The sequence below is a fragment of the Homo sapiens genome, chromosome 20 (genome assembly GCF_000001405.40).
Source record: "Homo sapiens chromosome 20, GRCh38.p14 Primary Assembly".
NCBI lineage: Eukaryota > Metazoa > Chordata > Mammalia > Primates > Hominidae > Homo > Homo sapiens.
Genome location: NC_000020.11, coordinates 49,685,012 through 49,708,840, shown reverse-complemented (window position 1 = coordinate 49,708,840; position 23,829 = coordinate 49,685,012). Strand labels below are relative to the sequence as shown.

The 23,829-nt window shown below is 41.1% G+C and overlaps 1 protein-coding gene across 1 annotated transcript in view, besides 1 other annotated feature; it reads left to right on the top strand.

The window, feature by feature from the left end:
- Positions 1 to 23,829, top strand: part of B4GALT5 (beta-1,4-galactosyltransferase 5) — an 80,934-nt gene that overhangs the window by 5,038 nt on the left and 52,067 nt on the right. The window lies entirely within an intron of this gene.
- Positions 21,009 to 21,108: a silencer, noted in NCBI's record as "silent region_13001". NCBI's record gives its function as "represses an Ori minimal core promoter by ATAC-STARR-seq in GM12878 lymphoblastoid cells {active_cell/tissue: GM12878}" and the evidence as "EXISTENCE:reporter gene assay evidence [ECO:0000049][PMID:35858748]".

Below are 23,829 nucleotides of genomic sequence, written 5' to 3'. Positions count from 1 at the left end.
CCTGCCTCAGCCTCCTGAGTTGCTGGGATTACGGGCACCTGCCACCACACCCGGCTAATTTTTGATGGGGTTTCACCATGTTGGTCAGGCTGGTCTTGAACTCCTGACCTCGTGGTCTGCCCACCTTGGCCTCCCATAGTGCTGGGATTACAGACATGAGCCATTGCGCCTGGCCGATGACATTTTATTAATTGAAATTCTGTTCTACATTTAAACTAATTTTTCTCTTTCCTTGATTACTGAAGAAAAGAGATGGGGAATGATTTTGACATTTTTGGCCTGCTTAGTTCCAAGAGAAATTTGATTTATGGCTGGCTTTTGGAAGGCAGGAGCCAGTAATTCTAATCTTACCTGATTTGATCGAATGACCTTGAGCAAGTGACTTGATTTCAATGATCTGATACTTTCAAAAAATCCCAAAGCCCTTTGAAAAACTAGAACTGCATCTTAGTCAATCTTTTAGAGAATTTTTAAGAAATCATACCTCAATAAAGCTAGTGAGATGCTTTCATATATAGAATGTTGATAATTCATTTACATTCTACATAAACATTGGTCCTAAGATTTTAATTTATTTTTATCTTACTATTTTTTGAGATGAAGTCTCTCGCTCTGTCACCCAGGCTGGAGTGCAGTGGTATGATCTTGGCTCACTGCAACCTCTGCCTCCTGGGTTCAAGTGATCCTCCTGCCTCAGCTTCCCAAGTAGCTGGGATTACAGGCGCCTGCCACCATGCCCAGCTATTTTTTTTTTTTTTTTTGTATTTTTAGTAGAGACGGGGTTTTACCATGTTGGCCAGGCAGGCTGGTCTCAAACTTCTGACCTCAGATGATACGCCCACCAAAGCCTCCCAAAGTGCTGGGATTAGAGGTGTGAGCCACCGTGCCCGGCCATTCCTAAGATTTTAGACAAAAAAAAAAAAAAAAGGCTGGGCAAGGTGGCTCATGCCTTTAATCCCGGCACTCTGGGAAGCCAAGATGGGCGGATTCCTTGTGTCCAGGAGTTCAAGACGATCCTGGGCAACATAGTGAAACCTCGTCTCTACTAAAAATACAAAAAAATTAGTTGGATGTGGTGCCTGCCTGTAATCCCAGCTACTCGGGAGGCTGAGGTCAGAAGATCACCTGAGCCTGGGAGGTCGAGGCTGCAATGAGCCATGATTGAACCACTGCACTCTGTCTGGGTACCCAGAGTGAGACCCTGTCTCCAAACAACGATTTTAGAGAAGATACATGTTTTATATAATCAAATACAACTTTTCCTAATAACCACATGAAAATTTCAGATTTTCCCCATTCAAGTGTAGTCTGAAAATAGCCTTTTTTTTTTCTTGACATGAAAAAGCCCTCTGAATCCCTCAGCACACTCAGTTTCTGAGCTTTCTAGAATGAAATACATATGGGGAAATATGGGTTACTTCACTTCAGAGAATTAAAGAGCCTTATCCCGTGAAGGACACCTTTTTTTTTTGCTCCAAATCCACATGCACTCTTGCGCACATATTTGAGTATAGTGTTGTCCCTTCTTCTTAGGAGGAAGCCGTGTTTGGAGAACAGGTTGATGTTACAAAAGTAAACAGCACCACTTTTGACCAGGACTTTGGTGATGTTTTATGTTCTCTTTGTGGAGTTTTTGCTATATTGGAAGCCAGGTCTTGGGTTTGGAGTTGAAATTTTCTTTAGTAGAAAGAAAGTGGTTGGTTTTGGATAGTCTCAGCCATTCAAACAGTATTAATTACTGTTCCAGGATACCTAGCCGGCAGATGATTCTGTTCCAGCATCAACTCCCCCCGCCCCAGCTGAACAGGCCAGTGGGAGCCTTGTATAATAATCACCAGGAAGGAGGGGCTCTGTGTTGCCATGCCTCTTTAGAGCTCTCTGAGAGAGCAGAAATTCCAAAGCAGCAGAAGGCCAGAATACAATTGACTTCTTGCTTCCCTAAATTTTGCTGCTTTTTAGATCTTGGAAGTATGTTCGGCACATCTAATCACATAAGGCAAAGAAAAACCTTAGCACGTAAGAAGTGAGCAATGTAATGCTGCTGAGGCCTGTCAGAGAAATAGAGAAAAAGGGAGGTTACCACTGGCTAAGACAAACAGATAATCGTAAGCAAGCAGGTTGGGTGTGGGCTGAAGAGAAGAGGCAGGCCTATGTGCACTGTGGGGAAAAGGGCAGTTGTTCTTCACTTTCTAGTAGCCAATAAAGGTATGCTTGCCTTTGCACACGAGTTATGTTTTGTAGAAAATTGTGAGGAAAAATTAATGGGATTTTAAGATCCACTTAAAATCCTGGAGCTACCCAGGTACCCAGCATTTGAGTGTCATGTTATCAGTTATGGGAGATCTTTGAATTCTAAACTTTTGACTACATCTGTCAATTTATAGATGATCATATAAGTCAAGTTGAGTCATTAACTTGCCCAAAGTTGAGAATTATTAAGATATTCCTGAAGCACATACAATGTGGTTGAAAAGAGATCTGGGTTCAGATCAGCTTGGAGTGGGCAGATTCATTTTGTTTTCAAATAGAGGATACTACCTTTCTCAGGCTACTTGTCAGAATTAAGTAGAATATGCACATAAAAGGGCTTAGCACAGAGCTTGACACAAAGGTCCTTATGTTTATGATTTTTTTTTTTTTTTTGAGATGGAGTTTCGCTCTCTTGTTGCCCAGACTGGAGTTCTATGGTGCGATCTTGGCTCACTGCAACCTCCGCCTCCTGGGTTCAAGTGATTCTCAATCTGCTTCACCCTCCTGAGTAGCTGGGATTACAGGCACCTGCAACCATGCCCAGCTAATTTTTTTTTTTTTTTTTGTATTTTTAGTAGAGATGGGGTTTCACCATGTTAGCCAGGCTGGTCTCTAACTCCAGACCTCAGGTGATCCGTCCTCCTTGGCCTTCCAAAGTGCTGGGATTACAGGTGTGAGCCACTGCACCCGGCCTTATGATTCTTATTTATAACCATAGGAGGTGCCCTCTTGGTCTCATGCTCATATTAAACTGAGATTAGGTTTGGGCTCCTGTCTGACTTTACCAATAACTAGGTATGAATTTTTTTTCCTGTTTTCTGTGAACTGAGGAGACTGGACTATTGTGCAGATTCTAGGGTCCCTTTCAGATCTGAAGTTTCATGATTCTGAGCATGTGTGAATTGAACCTTTGAAGTAAAGAAGGAATCATTTTGTCAAGTAAAGACACTGTCTTTTAAAGTTCTGATTTCCCGTTGACTTCATCTCCTCCCCAGACTGCTGCGGTGAGAATGGTGACATGCTTGTGTGTAATCTTCAGACTTTATAGTTTCAGTCTTTGGGGTGAATGGCAAGGTCCCCACTGTGCAGTGCCATTGCTTTCGGACATTAGCCTGGGAACTCCAGACTTCGTGTCTCTACATGGAAATCTGTCTTTGAAATCATTGTCACTAAGGAAGGGAGGGAAAATTGTGCTGTCTTGGTCAAAGGAAAGAAAATCAGAAAGAATTTTTGGAAATATCTTTGGGATGTTAAGACCATTTTTTCCTTTTTTTGGACCATTTTTTTTGTCCTGTGGGCTAATCCTTTTACATTTTGATCTGCTAAGCCAGTCCTTTCCTCTGGCTTCACACTTCAGCTTTTAAGTGTGAAATAGAGCCCCAGACTCATTACCTCAATCCTCTAGGTAGTTGGATGTTAAATGAAAATGAATATTGCATTTGGATTCAGTAATTCTTTTTATATGGTGCCTTTTATACTGAGGAGCATTCCAGCTCCTGCTGGTTGCATGAATTCAGTGTTTTCCCAAGCATGGGAATCACATTAAATAATTTAGAGTGCTGCCCCTTCTCTACTTCCTCTTTTTTTTTTCTCCTTTTGTTAGTTTGAGTAAGCAATTATTAGACCCTGGGTATTGTTCCTCTGCCTTTGCAGGTGACGGAGCTACCCAGGTACTTTGCAGCAATCAGAAGCGAACCTGTTCATTGTTTCTGAGGCACCTTCATTACTGTCATCAATTATGAACAGTTCTCTTAGGTGGTTAGTAGCCTAATTATAAAGATGAAAAATATTGTGGAGTATTGGGTACCGGAAAGAGTAGGTTGTAAGACAGCAATGTTGTGGTTTTTTTTTGTTTTTTTTTGTTTTTTTTTTGAGACAGAGTCTTGCTCTGTCGCCCAGGCTGGAGTGCAGTGGCGGGATCTCGGCTCACTGCAAGCTCCGCCTCCCGGGTTCACGCCATTCTCCTGCCTCAGCCTCCCAAGTAGCTGGGACTACAGGCGCCCGCCACTACGCCCGGCTAATTTTTTGTATTTTTAGTAGAGACGGGGTTTCACCGTTTTAGCCGGGATGGTCTCGATCTCCTGACCTCGTGATCCGCCCACCTCGGCCTCCCAAAGTGCTGGGATTACAGGCGTGAGCCACCGCGCCCGGCCGCAATGTTGTGTTTTTACATGTCAGTGGATCCAGGGTATGCTAGTGAGCACAACTGTATATTATTTTTATTAAAAAGTTGTAGGATATTTAAATATCAGTAAAGAGGTAACTTTTTCCACCCCCTCCCAAGTAGTCCTAAAAGTATGGATAATTGACATTTAAACCTTCTTCTTAATTCTACTGTGTTGAACAATCATAAGCTTGGGAAGATGGAGAGACAGGGTTATTTTTTCCTCACAGAGCTGCTCATTATCCCATTTTAAGTTCTACTTTCAGGAACCAAGCCTAAATTGTATTCCTGATCAGGATGTGTGTATTTGCTGATTGGTAGACTTGGCTGGTGAAGGTCATAAAATAGTGTTTTCCTAAATACTGTGTTGTGTCTTGCTTATGTAATTGAAAAAGGAAAAAAATGTTTTATTCCTGTTCAGAAAAATGACAGAATTGCCAACCTAAGGAAGTCAAACCAGATAGACCAAAAATGATAGTAGACTGACTTTAGGATTCATGATATAGTTATTTTGAATCTGTATTTTTTTTTTTTTCCTGAGATGGAGTCTCACTCAGTTGCCCAGGCTGGAGTGCAGTGGTGCGATCAGGGCTCACTGCAACCCCTGCTTCCTGGGTTCGTGTGATACTGCTGCCTCAGCCTCCTGAGTAGCTGGGATTACAGGCGAGCACCATGACCCCTGGCTATTTTTTTTTTTTTTAGTAGAAATGCGGCTTTGCCGTGTTAGCCAGGCTGGTCTCGAACTCCTGACCTCAGGTGATCCACCTGCCTTGGGCTCCTAAAGTGCTGGGATTACAGGCTTGAGCCACCATGCCCGGCTGAATCTGTATGTTTTAAATAAAAGCATTTAATGCTTTAACTTTTTTAGAAAAGCTCATTTGACCCATATCCTCATAATCTATATAGTCATGAGAGGGAAGTTTTCTGGATTGTAATTTCCTTGTGCCTAGGATGGTGCCCAGCACGTTGTATGTACTTAAATATTTAATGAAATGAAAGAAGAAACTATTGTCTGGGCAGACCAGCCTCTTGGTCGTTGGACTGCATTTACTTTGGGGAAAGGAATTAATTAATCCTGATTTTGAAGTGACTGAATTAATTTTTTCCAAATCTACTTTGTACATTTTTCTTCTTTTGGTGGTAAAATATGAAATTTGCCATGTATCTATTTTAGTAATTTAAGTAATTAAGTGTACAGTTTAGTGGCATAAATTACATTCATAATGTTATGCAGTAATCACTTTTTTTTTTTTTTTTTTTTGAGACGGAGTCTCGCCCAGGCTGGAGTGCAGTGGCGCCATCTGGTCTCACTGCAAGCTCCGCCTCCCGGGTTCGTGCCATTCTCCTGCCTCAGACTGTCGAGTAGCTGGGACTACAGGCACCCACCACCACGCCCGGCTAATTTTTTTGTATTTTTAGTAGAGACGGGGTTTCATCGTGTCAGCCAGGATGGTCTTGATCTCCTGACCTCATGATCCGCCCGCCTCAGCCTCCCAAAGTGCTGACATTACAGGCGTGAGCCACCGCGCCTGGCCAGTAATCACTATTTTTTAGGGTTTTTTTTTGTTTTTTGAGATGGACTCTCGCTCTGTTGCCCATGCTGGAGTGCAGTGGCACTATCACGGCTCACTGCAGCCTCAACCTCTCAGGCTCAAGTAGTTCTCTCACCTCAGCCTCCCAAGCAGCTGAGACCACCAGTGCGTGCCAGCAAGCCCGGCTGATTTTTACATTATTTGTAGAGATGGGATTGCCCTATGTTGCCCAGGCCGGTCTCAAACTCGTGGACTGAAGCCATCCTCCCACCCCCGCCTCCCAGAGTGCTGGGATTACAGGCATGAGCCACCATGCCCGGCCTGTTAGGAGTTCTTTACGGATTCTGAATAATATTAAACCTTTATCAGATACATGATTTACAAATATTTTCTATTCTGTGGGTTGTCTTTTCACTTCTGATAGTGTCCTTTGATGCACAAAAAAGTTTTTAATGAGGCCCAATTTACCTAATTTTTTGTTTATGCTTTTAAAATACACTACTTTGTAAATATTATCACTTACCTTTTGCTCCCTACAGTGTGCCCATTCTTTTTCTGCCCATGAAGGTCTTTATAAGCTACTGATGTGATTTTTGAGAAAGCAGGAGTCATGGTTTTTTTTGTTTGTTTGTTTCTCTTGCTCTAACGTGTTTAAGTTTGAAGCTGTTTTCTTTCTTTATTATTCTCTGTCTTTATTCATTTATTTAGATTCGGATTCGGCAGGCGACACGGGATTTATTTTTTGCCATACAGGAATGAAAAGACATGATGATTTCGAAGATAGGGAAAAGCACATTTTGTTTGGTATTTCCTTTTTTTGTTGTTGTTTTTTGAGGTGGAATCTTACTGTCACCCAGGCTGTAGTGCAATGGCATGATCTCAACTCACTGCAACCTCTGCCTCCTAGGTTCAAGTGATTCTCCTGTCTCCGCCTCCTGAGTAGCTGGGGTTACAGGCGCATGCCACCACCCCCAGCTAATTTTTTTATTTTTGGTAGAGATGGGGTTTCACCATTTTGGTCAGGCTGGTCTTGAACACCTGATCCACCTGTCTTGGCTTCCCAAAGTGCTGGGATTACAGGCATGAGCCACCACGCCTAGCCTGTTTGGTATTTTCTTAGCCCCAAATCTCCATTAATCAGCATCATTTATGTTTTGGTGTTTAGTATTAAGTAGTTACAATAAAGACCCTGAGGCATGACTTTCAGTTTGGTATTGTGGGTGTTTTTTTTGTTTGTTTTTGCCTTCTAATTCTTTGAAAATTAGTAATGCTTTATTCACCAGAATATTCTGTTTCCCCGTGCCTTCCTCGTCCACAACACAGGCACAGGGTGGCAGGTGGTGAAGAGAAACAGGCTGCCAAGATGGTCCCTAGATGACTAGGAGGGGCGTGATGTGTGCACAGGGTTTTTTTTTCTGTTATCCTTTATAACATCAGAAAATGATGTCAAATGCTGACGAATGAGGAAATAGAAAAATCTAACGTGTAAAAGCTGCTGGACTCCCACAGCTCTGACTTAGTAAAATTTGACAATTTGATACATATTTTTTTTTCTGATATCAGCTGAACTGCAAATGTATTTATCTAAATGTGAGTGATAAAAATGGTGATTAAAGGCAGGGGTGGGTACTTAGAAAACTTTTATGTTCTGGTGCCTGTGATAAAAGAGAAAAAATTACAAACTCATCTTTGCATTTGCCTGATTTTGCTATTTTCTTATAGCTAAATTCATTAATCTCTGTGTAACACCCCTACAGTGTGCTAGACTTGAAGGATACAGTGATGAACAAAGCAGACAGTGTATCACTGTTATTTTTTAAGTCTTCTAAGGAGCATGCTTCACTTTAGTAAATTTTTAGTTTTGGGTGATTTTATATTTCTGGACAGATGTGTTTAATTGAGGGCCAATTCATCTGGTGTTCAGTTGGAGTTAACATTCTTTAATTGCCAGGAATGATAGTGAATAAGGTAGTCACCCCCTTATCCAGAGTTTCACTTTCTGTGGTTTCACTGAGTTCTGAAAATATTAAATGGAAAATTCCAGAAATAAACATTTCACAAATTTTAAATTGTGCACCATTCTGAGTGGCGTGATGAAATCTTTCACCATCCTGCTCTGTCCCCCTTTGTCTTGCCTGGGATGTGAGTCATTCCTTTGTCCAGCATACCCACGCTGTATACACATTTAGTAGTCGTCTGGATTATCACATCATCATCGTGGTGTCACAGTGCTTGTGTTCAAGTGACCCTTATTTTAATTTTATTATTTGTAATACTTTTGAATTTTAATCTTATGGCCAGGTGTGGTGGCTCATGCCTGTAATCCCAGCATTTTGGGAGGCCGAGGCTGGAGGATCGCTTAAGCCCAGGAGTTTGAGACCAGCCTAGGCAACCTGGGGGAAAACTTGTTTCTACAAAAATACAAATAAAAATTAGCCAGGTGTGGTGGCACATGCCTGTAGCCCCAGCTACTTGGGATCGCATGAGCCTGGGAGTTTGAGGCAGCAGTGAGCCATGATCACTCCAGCCTGGGCAACAGAGTGAGACTCTCTCAGAAAAATTAACTTTACTTAATTACTTTTATTATTGTTATAATTGTTCCATTTTATTGTTGTTGTTGTTGTTGTAAACCAAATTGTAAAACCATTTTATATTTGTTGCAAACCAAAAAGTATCTGAGACAGGTCTCAATTTATTTAGAAGTTTATTTTACCAAGGTTAAGGGCATGCACCCAGGCCCAAGGTCTGTGCCTTTCTCCTAAGATGATTTTGAGGGCTTCAGTATTTAAAGGGGGAGAAATTTTAGGAAGGCGTGGTAGATAGGAGGCAAATGGTTACATTCTTTTGAGTCTTTGATCAGCTATTCACATGTGGCGGGCAAGGGTGGGGGGCAGCGGAGGAATAGTCCCTTATGCATTCATCTAGCTCAGTGAATCTGCATTTTTACATAAGACAAAATATACTTACCGGGCAGAGGAAGTGATGAGATTATGCATTTGTCTCAGGTAAGCAGAGGAATGACTTTAAGTTCTGTCCTTTGTCCTATACCTGTGAAGATAAGCTGTCAATTTACGTTGTCAGGGTGAAATTCAGCAGAGTGGTTGTAGGGTAAGGATGTTGAGGTCCACAAGGAATTTCCTATTGGGCAGATTGTGAGGGAGGTAGGTTTGCATGATGCCGTTCCTACCTTGACTTTTCTCTTTGACTTAGTGGGTTTGGGGTCCCCAAGTTTATTTTCCTTTTACATTGTTATTCATCTTTTACTGTGCCTAATTTATAATTTAAACTTTACCATAGGTATGTGTGTATAGGAAAAAGCAATGTATTTAGATCTGGTACTACCTGCAGTTTCAGGCACCCACTGGGGAATTTCAGAACGTATCCCTTGAAGATAAGGGAGGACTGCTGTATGATTCATAGCACAGTTTCAGATTAATCATGTCCGATGCAGTCAGATGCTTGATGGTTATATGGGGCCTGGTTTGTGGGCAAATGACTAGTGGGGTTTTTTTTTTTTTTTTTTTTTTGCCCATTTAGGATTCAAGATGGGTTTTAACCTTTTAAGTTACAATTAAGCACTTTGTGTCGTACAGTATGTATACAATAATGCTTTGAAATGGCTAGTCATGAATGTATTAATGGTTTGTCTTGCACTGAAACCTGAAATGTAGATGAAAAAGTTGATAAACATAAGGCAATCAGTACTGATTGTCATTGTCATCTACCCCAGTACATTCTAAGTGTGGTAGATACAGTAATTCTTATATGTTGCTATTAACGTCATTTCTGATTTTTGATTAGAAAAATATTTAGGTTAATGGCTTTCTTGTTGGTTTCAAATTTATAGTAAAAGCTATACCTTTATGTCTTGAATCTGCTTGCCAGTCTTTGCTTTGATAGGTGGTTTTTGCTTAGGCTACGATAAATTGTTTCATCTTTTCTAAAGAGGGATGAGGAAGTATTTACTTTGTGAAATTGGAAAACCGTGTGGTTGGTGTGGAAAATAAGCATGTTATTAATAAACAGCTAGTCTTGTGCTCCATACTCTTGGATGTAAGGTAGAAATAACCTTGCCTCTATTGCTGAGATTTAAAAAAATAAAAAGCTAGGCTACTACCCGTGCCTTCCTCGTCCACAACACAGGCACAGGGTGGCAGGTAGTGATGAGAAACAGGCTGCCAAGATGGTCCCTGGATGACTAGGAGGTGTGTGATGTGCGTCCAGTTGTCTGGATGGGGCAACTGGAATCCTTCATTGTGTGGTTCATGCTTGTGTGTGTGTGTGAATGCGAGAGTGGGAGGAAGTTCAATGTTTTGGCTTTGGTGTGGGATTAATTTTCTCTTCGATTGTTAATTTGGCATACCTGACTTTTTCATTCTGGTTTAAAGTATTAGAAATCTTAAGATTTGTGTGAATTAGAAGATTGGGATTTATTTGAATTTCATTTGGCACTAGGGAAAATTCACTTTAGGTAAGAGCTACTTTTTGGGTTGGCTTTATGTTCAAAGCAGTTTTTTCCTTAAGAGTTTCATTTTATTATGGAAATTTTCTTTTTTCTTTTTTTATTTTTTTGAGATGGAGTTTTGCTCTGTCCCCCAGGCCGGAGTGTGGTGCCACCGTCTCGGCTCACTGCAACCTCCACTTTCCAGGTTCAAGCAATTCTCCCACCTCAGCCTCCCGAGTATCTGGGATTACAGGTGCGTGCCACCATGCCCGGCTAATTTTTGTAGTTTTTACTAGAGATGGGGTTTCGCCATGTTGGCCAGGCTGGTCTTGAACTCCTGACTTCAGGTAATCTGCCTGCCTCTGCCTCTCGAGTAGCTGGGATTATAGGCATGAGCCACCGCGCCCGGCTGGAAATTTCCAAACATATAAAAGTAAACTTAATAGTACAGTATAATGGACCCCATGAACAAAAGTAATTTTTCTAACCTCAAAAGCAGGGGCAGTTTATTTAATCAGGTAAAAACTGAGCCTTAAAAGTCAGACTTTGCTAAAAGAAAACAGTATTTTTTTCACTGTCCTGAATATAACATTAAGGAAATAGGATTTGGTTAGGTCTAGATAACATTTAATAATTTCAACTGTGTTAAAGACAAAAGTAATTTTTGATGTGACCATGGACTTGTCATGAAAAATATAAAGGTGAAAGGGATTCCATCCCCCTTCCTCTAAACAGAATGGAACATAAGCACAGGTTTAGGCTAATTCATAACCTGGATTTTTAAAGCTTTTACATAGTTGGGTTTCATGTTGTTCAGATGTCTTACTAAACCAGGTATCTAAATGAGTGTTTTTCTGTTAAAAAAAAAAAAAAAAGGACATGTCCCCTTCCTCTGCCATCCCTTAATCACGGGGCTCCACTGGAATAGAGATGGGCGGATAAAGAAGGAAACTTAGTGTTAGCAGCTCCAGTGAACTGGTATGAGGTAGAGGAGGGTTGAAGCCATTGATCACAGTGACGTTTCCAGAGGATTTAAGCTTTCCCATTGTCCCATCCTTCATTTGAACCCTCAGAATGTACAGCCAGAAGTCCAAGAGCAAGCGTCTCTGCGAAGGGTAAACCTTCCAGGCTGTGCTCCCTCAAAGGCGCCGCTGCGCTTGAGGAGCAGGTGCTGTGGCTGCTGAAGTCAGGTGCTCTGGGAGCAGACAACAACTGCCTGGGTGTGTAGCACCTGTGTCCTTTTGGCTCCCCTGGCCTTGTCTTCTGAGACTCTGTTGTTAATTTCTTTAGCTGTTTATGTCAGCTTTGACCAAAGCCCACTGCAAAGCTTAGAAGGGTAAGGAGGCAACAATATCCCTTTGAAGACTTATTTTGGCACAGATTTTGTGATTTGTGAATAGTAACATTCCTCAGTAGCCACAAATTAAACAACATCGATCTAATTTTGGTATTAATTAGTTGTATAATTAAAATAGTAAAACCATCTGCATAGATTGAAGCTATAGTTTCAGGTTGTATTATATGTGTGAAAAACCGACTCTTCATTGTGAATTTTGAGTAGACTTCCCAGTAGATTATTTATGTAAGCTGTGTCATCAGAAACATTCCAGAATGAATCACGTTTAATTAGGATCTAACAAATGTTACCACCTTTGTTCTGTTGAACAATATTTTTAAACCATTAAATCAACTTGGTTGATAAAAGGAAATTGCAGTAATTTATTCATAACCCTTTCATCACAAGTGTTTTCACTTGTGTCCTTGTCATTGTATACACAGATATTTGAAAATTTTGCACCTCAGGAATTGCTGGGCTGGGAGAAAAAGGATGGCAGCAATTTAAATCTGTATTTGTGCTAGAATAATCTTTTACAATCTCTTTGCTATAAGATCTTTTCCTGGCCAGTTCTGTTTTCCCCACTATAACGAAACATCCTGTCTTAATATAAGATTATTTCTGGCAAGGGATTCTTGAAAGCTGTAAAGAAAACATACCTGCTGTCTTTACCGATAATGTGGAAAACTTCATGGGAAATTCTAGCCCCTTCGATGTCAAGTCTATTTAATCTCATTCCTTTACTATTAATAAATTTAAATAGATGAATTTCAAATCTCATTAAATGTTACAACAGTATGTCTAATTAGTTTTTTTCTTTCTTTGATTGGATTCCACAAAGTAGAATAAAGCTCTTCTCAGAAACCTGTTTGGACTTAGTAATTATTTTTCTCTAGATTGTTATTTTTTCTCTAGTTTGTCAAGAGTGAGTAAACTTTGAATGATTGAGAGTCTGTTATGACATAGGTCAAATCAATTGAGCAGGACCAAAGAGTTGGGCTACCCTGGTCACATTAACTATATACATTTACTGCGATTATTTCCATTGTTTCTTCATACACAGCTGTGTGACACAGCGTGCCTTTTGCATCGGTAAAGGAGTTAAATCTGTAGTTAATTTGTGTGGCATTCTCTAGGCTGAGCCAGGCTTTCTTAGCCCTTTGGAAGATCCCACATGGAAGCATTAGACATAATGAAAACTCAGCATATTTCTTTGCTTCTGAGTTGTTGGAAATGATTAGATTGAAACTCAATGTGTTGTTTTCTTTTCCCACCCCCACCCTTTAGAAAGGTATCTGTATGTACAGAATGGGAATATCATTAATGTCATGCAGTTTATTCTTTTCTACAAAGGTGATTATATTAAATAGTTCTGCTATAACATGGCATAAGCATTTCTAACAGTGACCACACTGGCCGGGCCCGGTGGCTCACACCTGTAATCCTAGCACTTTGGGAGGCCAAACACCTGAGGTCGGGAGTTCAAGACCAGCCTGGCCAATGTGGTGAAACCCCATCTCTACTAAAAATACAAAATTAGCCGGGCATGGTGGCATATGCTTGTAATCCCAGCTACTCGGGAGGCTGAGGCAGGAGAATCGCTTGAACCCGGGAGGTGGAGGTTACAGTGAGCCGAGATTGCGCCATTGCGCTCCAGCTTGGCGACAGAGCAAGACTCCACCTCAAAAAAAAAAAAAAATAAACCACAACAGACTGTCATGATAGGTTCACTTCACCCTGTGGTTAATGAGTTAATCCATATAAAGCAGTGGTCTCCAACCTTTTTGGCACCAGGGACCAGTTCCGTGGAAGACATTCTGAAAGGGGCTGGGGATTGTGTAGGGGGTTGTGTGTTGTGCCACTCCAGCCTGGGCAACATGAGCAAAAGTCTGTCTAAAAAAAAAAAAAATTACTGCACTATGCCAGATTGTTCAATAAAAGCCATAGAGATTATGAAAAATTGGAGTTAGGTGTGCAAAAACTGCATTAGTTACTCATCACCAAAAAAAAAAAAAAAGAACCTAATGAAAACAGTGCAGGTGTTCACATGTTAAGCAGTTAAGGAATACTGTAAATATGGCACTTTGAAAATCTAAATCTGTGGTTTGCTCATAGAAGTGAGCATCAGCAGGGTTGCAGCTTGAGTTATTGTGAAGTGGTAGAAGGAGGGTTCTCTGAAATGGCATTGAGAGTTCTAACATCAGATGTGTGTGGCACCCACTTGGTGAACTGAGTAGCTGGTAGATGCTTCAGGGGTGTGTGTGTGTGTGTGTGTATCTGTCTGTCTTTCCAGCTGGGTGTAGTTTTCTGGGTTTTCCTCGTGGATGAAATTGTGCATATGCAAAGGCAGAGTTCAGGTTATGCGCATATTGTTCCCAGGTGTTATCAGTTGTGTTAGAGCAAACTTGCCTTCCCTTTCCCTTTCCCTTTCCCTTTCCCTTTCCCTTTCCCTTTCCTTTTCCCTTTCCCTTTCCCTTCTCAGCAGGGCCTTGCTGTGTCACCAAGGCTGGAGTGCAGTGGTGTGATCACACCTCATTGCAGCCTTTACCTCCTGGGCCCAAGTGATCCTCCCACCTCACCCTCCCAAGTAGCTAGGACCAGTAGCTACTTTTTAAAAAATTTTTTTGTAGGGACTAGGTCTCCCTGTGTTGCTTAGGCTGGTCTCAAATTCCTGGGCTCAAGTGACCTTCCCACCTCGCCCTCCCAGAGTGCTGGGGTTACATGTGTGAGCCACCGTGCCCAGACTTTGATTTGCCTTTGATTTAGGAAGAGGAAGTTACAGTTTTCCCAACTATAACTTTCAAAAGTTATAGTTGGGAAAAGAAAAATAGATGCGCAAATCGGTGGTAGGTAGGTGTGAAGCCTAGGTAAACCCATTCTTTTCCCATCTAGGCACATCGCCTCTCTATACAGAAAGGGCACTTTGAAGTATGAGGAACATACTTTTTCTAACTTCTTTCTGGAAATAAATGTGAAAATTAGGGTGTTAATAAAAAGTACGTTTACATAAGCTGTCTGCTTTTCAAGGAAGAGTGGCTTAGACTTCTGCTAGCTTAGTTGATCAGGTCATCTCACTTCTGTTATTTTTTTGTAAATCTAATGAGGTGGCTAATTATCGAAAGTGAGGTGTCCATCCTGTCACTTTGAGTTATCTTCCAGGTGCAGAGATTAATTTTGTTGTGCCTTTGTTCCCTTCATTAACTGTTTGTGGGTAGGCATTTGTAAGGTCACTTTCTGGGATTGGGGAACCTCCCCTGAGGCTACCCCTTATGCAAAGAGTTGTTCTTTATGCAAAGCTGCATACCTGCCCTGGAGTCCACCTGGCACCTTAACCTCATTTGCACTGTTCTCTAAACTTCTGGGGCCTAGCTAGTCACCTGAGCATAAGCGCACACTGCTGCCAGCAGGCTTTTGGAAAATGTCTTAAAAAGTGGTGGCGAAAGTAAGCTTGTTTCTTGATGATATGTAACCATGAATAGTGAAGACGTTTATACTCAGAATTCCTAGACTCCTAGAAATCAGATGTAGAGAGCTTCCCTATTAGTCATCTACCTTAGGGCCTTTAGAAACAGCAAGGTAGAGATACTGTGTTGTGTTGTTTAGGACAAGGAGAATTAGCCTGCACCTTGGAGAGAGAAACTGCAATGAGCTGTGGAGCCTAATGATTCTTAGCTCTTGTCCCCGCTCTGCAACTTACTGGTTTGGTGACTTTGGGCCAGTTACTGGACCATTCTGTTCGAACTTCAGTTTCTTCATTGGAATTGATATTAGTTTCTACCTGATAGTGAAGAACTTAGCAAAGTCCCTGTGGTGGCAAGCATATGCAGTCAGTGTTATTGCTACCGTGATTGATATTCTGACTATTGGGAGATTATAATCTCAGATGTGTTTTCAGGATGAATTCACAAACACAGTCATATGTTGCATAAGTATGGGGATACATCCTGAGAAATGCGTTGTTAAGCTATTTTGTCATTGTGGCAACATCATGGAGTGTACTTACACCAACCTAGATGGTATAGCCTATTACACCCCTTGGCTGTATGGTATAGCCTATTATTCGTAGGCTACAAATCTCTACAGCATGGTACTGTACTGAATACTGTAGGTAAGTAAATGTGTAGCTAAATATATCTAAACAGAAAAGGTATAGTAAAAATACAGTATTATAATCTTAGAGGATCACCATTGGATATGCAGCTAGTCGTTGACTGAAACGTCATTATGCGGCACATGACTGTGTAAGATACAACAGGATCTGAAGAATCGCAACATTTTGGATAATTTTTTTTGGTGTGTGTAATTTTTCAAAAACATAATTGAACTTACATTATATGTACAGTTTTATATACTAACTAAAAACGTTAAATGTAGTCTAGAGGCAGTGTGACAGGTTTTCAGTGGAAAGGATACTCAAAATTATTGGGCTTACCCCTGTATCTTACAGGTGGGAAAACAGAATCATGGAAAGGTTTAAAGGATATACTCAGCCTCCTAGGCAATGCCAGCACTACAACTGAGTCCCATTCTAGTTGTTATTCCAAGGATTTTCACCAGTTTACATCAGGAATTTTCATAAAGTTGGCATTGGATGATGATATGGTGATACCAAGATATTTTCTATTGTTTTTGTTTTGTTTTGTTTTTTGAGACAGGGTCTCGCTCTGTCACCCAGGCTGGAATGCAGTGATGCGATCATAGCTCACTGCAGCCTTGACTTCCTGGGCTCAGGTGATCCTCCTGCCTCAGCCTCCTGAGTAGTTGGGACTACAGGCACGCGCCACCATGCCTGGCTACTTTTTTTTTTTTCTTTTGTAGAGACAGGCTCTCACTTTGTTGCCCAGGCTGGGATGTTTTCTTTTGGATGGGAGTGAAAGGCTTATGTATAAATAGAAACAGCACACTCAACATACCTATTGTTTTTATAAGGCACACTACAGTGAATACATTAAAAAAAAAACAGTAGGTGAGAATACTCTGAAGATAGTGAGAAAGCATAATTGTAGGGGACATAGTTTTTAAATGGTTGAATTACTGTCTGAGGCCTCTTTACAGACATGGGGTAAGTGGGATGCCAAGGTGTGTTGTTGCCAGGAGAATCAGGTTATATGTACCTTTGGGTGGCAGCAAGGATAAATCAGGACAAAGGGCATTCATTCATTGTAGCTTCATAATCACAGTGTGATAAAATCAGTCATTTGGTGATCATTACAGGTCAGTCACTGCCTAGGGTTTTGTTTTTTCCCCGGTATCTTTATTTTGGATTTTAAAAATAATACATTCAGTGTATAAAATTTGGGAAATACAGCGAAGCATAAGGAAAATAAAGACAATCTAAAACCTCATAACCCAAAGATAACACACTGTTAACATTTTGGTGCTTTTTCTTCTGGATCTTTTTTTAGGGGAGTATGTGTAATTTTTCAAAAACGTAATTGAGCTTACATTATATGTACAGATTTATATACTAACTAAAAATGTTAAAACTGTAGTCTAGAGGCAAAGTGACTGTCAGGTTTTCAGTCCTGTAAGAAAATGTGGACTCTACCATATACTGCAGAAGAACATGTTTTGGCGTGTGGGTTTTTTTTTGTTTGTTTTGTGAGACTCTGTCACTCAGGCTGGAGTGCAGTGTGGCAATCATGGCTCACTGCAGCCTTGAACCTCCCAGGATCAAGCGATCCTCCCACCTTAACCTCCTGAGTAGCTGGGACTACAGTTACGTAGTACCATCACGCCTGGCTAATTTAAAATTTTTTTTGTAGAGACAGGGCCTCACTATGTTGCCCAGGCTGGTCTCAAACTCCTGGGCTCAAGCAGTCCTTCCACCTCTGCCTCCCAAAGTGTTGGGATTACAGGCGTGAGCCCCTGCTCCTGGCCTGGCATGTACTTGATATAGGAGCAGTGTCTAAAGCTGGCTGATTGCCCCGCACCGTCATTTTAATCAGAATGACTCATTTTTCCCATCTATAGCTAGTCTCAAAAATTAATAATAAATTACTTAACCCTCCAGGAAGTTTCAGCAAACACCCGGTTGATCATTTACCACTCTTATCTGCTATCTCTTAAATAATATTCTAGGACCAGAGCACAGGCATAATCTGCTAATTTACGTTAAATTATCTGTCTGCCAGTTAGAGCCAGGTAACTACAGTTCACAGTAGAGGCAGCAATCCATTCTTGCCAAGAAAGGATTCCATTTGGTTATATGCAGAAGGGAAACCCAGGTATTCAAGGAATATAAATTATAGATAAATTGCAATTTCAGGGTAAGGATTCTTCTCTAGGATATTTTGTGTCTCCATGAATTCATAAAAATAGAATTTTAGGAAACAAGAATACTTGTGTTGAACATATCAATCGGTATGCCTTCTTTGAGACTAAACATTTCATTGAAAATTAGCTGTTAGATTGATACCATTTAAATGGCTTATATGCATTTAAAGATGTAACAGATATAACTTTTTTGCAACTTTTTGTAAGTATTAAATTTAGCTTCAGGAATATGGTTTCATTTACTATTTTATAATTAAAATATAATTGTCACCCCCCCCTTTTTTTTTTTGAGTTAGAGTTTCACTGTTGTTGCCCAGGCTGGAGTGCAATGGTTCAATCTCGGCTTACTGCAACCTCCGCCTCCCAGATTCAAGTGATTCTCCTGCCTCAGCCTCCCGAGTAGCTGGGATTACAGGCATGCACCACCATGCCTGGCTATTTATCCCTTTTAAACATTACTTTTCTAAGACTGTCTCTTCACACCAGAGACTTGAAGATTGTTCAAAGTGCCGTGGGTTAAAAATAACACTTGTGGCCAGGCATGATGGCTCATGCCTGTAATCCCCGCACTTTGGGAGGCGGAAGTAGGTAGATCACTTGAGGTCAGGAGTTCGAGACCAGCCTGACCAACATGGCGAAACCCTGTCTCTACTAAAAATACAAAAGAAGTAGCCAGGTGTAGTGGTGTGTGCTTCTAATCCCAGCTACTTGGGAGATTGAGGCAGGAGAATTGCTTGAGGCCAGGAGGCAGAGGTTGCAGAAAGCTGAGATCATGCCACTGCACTCCAGCCTGGGTGACAGAGGGAGACTGTCTCAAAAACAAACAAACAAATAACAACAACAAAAACACTTGTGCTATGTATGCCTAGAGACCTAGCTCCTCAGAACCTGAGGCCAGGAGTTCCAGGACAGCCTGGGCAACGTAGCGAGACCCCGTCTCCAAACAAACAAAAAAACATTTATTCTGAGAGAGGGAAATAAGGGTAGGGATTGACTGGAAAGGGGCTTGGGAAACCTTTCAGGAGTGATTGTAATGTTTCATATCTTGATAGGGATTTAGATTACACAGGTATGTGCATTTGTCAAACTCCGCAAATGCACACCTATTCATTGCATGAACTTTTACACCAAGAAGGGAAAAAAAATCTAATTAATTAACATGCATGTTGAAGTGTTTAGCAGGAAGTATACTGATCTCCGCAGTTTACTTGGAAATAGGTCACAAAGTAAGATGGATTAATGGATATATTTGTGATAAGCAAGTTAATAGTGGAATCAAGATGGTGAGTATATGGGAGTTCACTGTAAAATCCTTTCAACTTTGCTGTATATTTGAAATTTTTCATAATAAAACGGTTTAAAAATGTTAAAAATTTTCACATCGGTGATTAGATATCAAAAAAGATGTTACAAATTTGTATCTGTGAAATTGTAGTTCCCACGGGGCAGAAACGGATCCATTGAATCACACCACTCCCGTGATCATTTTAACTTTGAGATTGATAAGAGAGTGAGCTAAGAATTATCAGGTTCTTCATCCTCAGTATGTTAAGGATCTCTCTTATCTTTCTCATTGAGTCTAAATATTTTTTTTCTGATTATTTTGCTGTCTTTGTTACTTGGAAATCAAGTAACATAAATCCTGTATAATTGTCAAAGAGGTGACATCTGTGTTTATTTCTGCATGTATCATCCAATGGATACCTAAACACTGTTTTGCTGAGACATTTTCTCAGGCTAGCACTCAATACAAATCTGTATTTTTCTATTCTCCTTCCTTCTCCTCCAGCTTTCAGTCTAGATGTTTTCTGATGGCATAGCTTTTGGATCAATCATTCTCTTTTTTTGCTCTGTCTTACCCAATATTAAAATATTACACCCTGTTTTTTTTTTTTTTTTTTGAGATGGAGTTTCACTCTTGTTACCCAGGCTGAAGTGGAATGGCACGATCTCGGCTCACTGCCACCTCTGCCTCCCGGACTTAAGCAATTCTCCTGCCTCAGCCTCCTGAGTAGCTGGGATTACAGGCACGCGCCACCAAGCCTGGCAATTTTGTAATTTTAGTAGAGATGGGGTTTCTCCACGTTGGTCAGGCTGGTCTCGAACTCCTGACCTTAGGTGATCTGCCTGGCTTGGCCTCCCAAAGTGTTGGGATTACAGGCGTGAGCCACTGCACCCGGCCTTGACACTCATTTTGTCCTATCTTTTGGCATGCCTGTTAATTTTTATTGAAAAGTGGGCATTGTATATAAAAAAATTGTAGCGACCCTAGATGATTTTCTAATATCTAGATGGCTTACACCATTTGCTAGGCAAATAGAATGGGGGCTGATTCCATTTATCTTGTCTGAGCTGACCACAGCAAGGGCGTGGTTTTGGTCAGGCTCCATCTCTTTTTGGTTTGCCTCTACTCTTTGGAAGTACCCTGCAGGAGTTCTGGCTAAGAACTGGGGCCCTTCCCCCATGGTGTGTCCTGAACTTTAATCTTTGTCCCCCACGGTGTGTCCTGAACTTTAATCTTTGTCTTCTTAGTACATGGGATTGGTGAAGAAACCTGCTGTGCTATTCAGAGGCTTTCTGCTTGGTTTCAGCCTTCTGACCTGTGCATCTTTGGGATTTTGTAAAATGTCTTCAGGGTAAAACACTCAGTTCTTTTCACAGGAATCCTAGGCCCTTGTCTCTATTTTTCTTTCTTCAGGCCTGAGACATTACCATGAGCTCTGCTGGTTTCTCTGCCTGTGAATAGTGGCTCTGGTCATGTTCCCAGGCTGCTTTTCTGTTTCCTCAGCCTCCTTCCTGGCACCTAGCATTGGCAGATTCCCTGAGGGGCAAAGCAGTTGTGGCATATTGGCTTGCTCCTAAAGGGTTTACCCTTCCGGATTGTGTCTCTTCAAGTCATAGTAGCTTCCACAGTTCTCCAAAGTCTTCAGACTTTGAAAAAAAAAATTTTTTTTTTTTTAATTTTCTCTGGCTGTTGGAGTTGTTTCTCTGAGGGATCTCTGGTCTGCCACAGGCTCTCAGTCATAGCCAGAAGCAGAGGCTACTTTATGCAAATCTTGCACATGTGCATTGTTACTTATGTTGCAGAAAAGGTGATGCTAGTCTGTGCTCCATTTACTAAGGAAGAAATATTCAGTTTATAGGGAATCGAAAATAAATTATCTGTTTATTTTATTTTATTTTTTATTTTTTCCCAGGACAGAGTCTTGCTCTGTTACCCAGGCTGGAGTGCAGTGGTGCAATCTTGGCTCACTGCAACCTCCGCCTCCCGAGTTCAAGCAATTCTCCTGCCTCAGCCTCCCGAGTAGCTGGGATTACACGCGCCTGCCACCACACCCGGCTAATTTTTGTATTTTTAGTAGAGACAGGGTTTCACCATGTTGGCCAGGCTGGTCTCGAACTACTGACCTTATGATCCGCCCACCTCAGCCTCTCAAAGTGCTGGGATTACAGGCATGAGCCACCGCGCCCAGCATGTTTATTAATCCAATAAATGTGAACCAGCAAATATAAACTTAACGTTTATGCATTACTGCTGTACTTTCTAACAGTGTCAGTGGTTAATTTAAAAGTCAGTAGAAGTTAAGTGATTTGTCTAAGGCAGAGTTTCTCAACCTTGGCACTGTTGACATGCTGCTTTGTTGTTGAGGCTGTCCTGTGCCTTGTAGGATGTTTTGCAGCCTCTGTGGCCTTTACCCAAGAGATGCCAGTAGCACCTTTCTCCCGCAGTGGTGACAACGAAAAATGCCCCCAGATACTGCCAAATGTCCCCTGGGAAGCAAAAGCACCCCTAATTGAGAACTACTGGCCTAAAGGAAGGGAATAGTTTTCCTAATTTGATATAATGCCAGAAAAGCAGAATTGGATTTTGAGTTACTCAAGTCATTGTCTCTGACCATTGGACTATATGCCAGCTTCATTCTTTTTTTTTTCTTTGGTAAAGATGGGGTCTCGCTGTGTCACCCAGGCTGGAGTATAGAGGCATAATTATAGCTCATTGCAGCCTCGAACTTCTGGGCTGAAGGGATCCTTCCACCTCAGCCTTGTGGGTCTCTGGGGCTGTAGGTGTGCACCACCACACTTGGCTTTTTTTTTTTTTTTTTTTTTTTTGGGCAGAGACAAGGTCTTGCTATGTTGCCTATGCAACATAGCAAGAACCCTTGGCCTCAAGAGGTCCTCTTGCCTCGGTCTCCCAAAGTGCTGAGGTTACAGGCATGAGCCACTCCACCTGGCCCAGCTTCATTTTTTACTGACAATTTGATGGTAAATTCTAGGGTCCTAAAAATGGTTGTAAGAGTAAATGTATTTTTTTTTTAACCATTGGCTTGCCATCTGTGAATTGGGAACTTAGGTCACTTGGTTGCTTATTCTAGGGTTAAGAAGACAGACTCTTGATTTCTAGGCAGTAGTAAGTGTTAACATCCTATGTGTGGTATCTCTTGGGCTTCTGCAGAGCAGTTCTGTTGCAGTCTGTCTTCATTGGATCTAATGCGTGTACAGCAGTTCTTTAAAACTGACAGGAGCAAACCAACACAGAGAAATCCACTCAGAATGTAAGTAGTAACCATTTGGAATGTAAGGTAGGAAAGACATAAAGAGATCAGAATTAGAGCTAAAACTAAGGGAGAAAAAGACAGCTTAGAAGATTAGAATGGACAATTTTGAATGGCATGACACTACCAAAAATAATTTAAGCTGTTAGCTCCCCTTTCTCTTATTCTGCGGACATTTTCCGGTTTTCCAAATCATTCTGCTTTGATGCCAAATGTCTTGTTAATAATGCATGGCTTTTTTATAGTACTCCCTTCCCATCATGCCTCTTAGGTGCTGAGTCAGAGGAGATGTTACAGCAGCAGCTCAGGAGAAAGGAGAAATCCCTCTGCAATGCTCAAATACTACTTTTTTTTTTTTTTTGCACATTTATCTCTTAGCAAGCTTTTCACTTTAAATACTCTAAAGCTTCAATTCAGGGGATGCATTTTTCTTACTGTTAAAGAACAAGACTTTTAAAACTATCCAAAAATGTCTAATAACGTGAGGTTTTTGAAAGCTCTTAAAAGCAGATCTAAATGTTAGTGTGTATTGTATTTGATTTCTAGGACAATAGCTGTTATTTTTCTACTTTTCTACCTATTGTCTGGATATGCCTCTTCTGAGTCCGTAATTTCTATTCTGTAAAATTTAAAATAATATTTTCACATTGCCTTTATGATAGACAGCTATAGGAGACAAACAGATAATTGAGGAAATGGGACAAATGATTGTCCGGTGAGCACTGGGATCCAGGCTTGGATCCAGCGTTTTTCTCCCCTACTGTTTGCCAGCCCATTGCATTCTGGGTGGCTACTCAGAGGCTGACTTTTGAGGCTCAGCAGTTGCTACCCCTGCTGCTTTCAAAGGCTGGGCTGTCTGGGTCACAGAGTTTTTCGTTTTCTGTTGGTTAGGAAATACTGTGTTTTGAAGGGCCCTGGTAGAGGGAAAGTAATTTTTGAAGCCCCTGGGTTTGTGGTATGAGTTGAGAGGAGGCACCCACTGCACCTGCTGAAGTTCCTTTTAGAGACGGCAACATGGAGAAAGTGTTCCTAGGTCTGTGATACACATGTTAGCCTCTTAGTCATGTCTGCCTTTAAACTGTGTAACACATCTTAACAAACTTGGGAAATCAGTTCACCTGATGCGGAGTGGTGTGTTTAAGTGCATAAATCAGAAGTTTCCTAGAGTGACAGTATTCTTTGTTGTCATGGATTTTTAAGGTGTAATTTAGAAATTGTTTACCTCTCTTCACAATCAGAATAACAATATTGTTGAAAATAAAATAACAGCATGG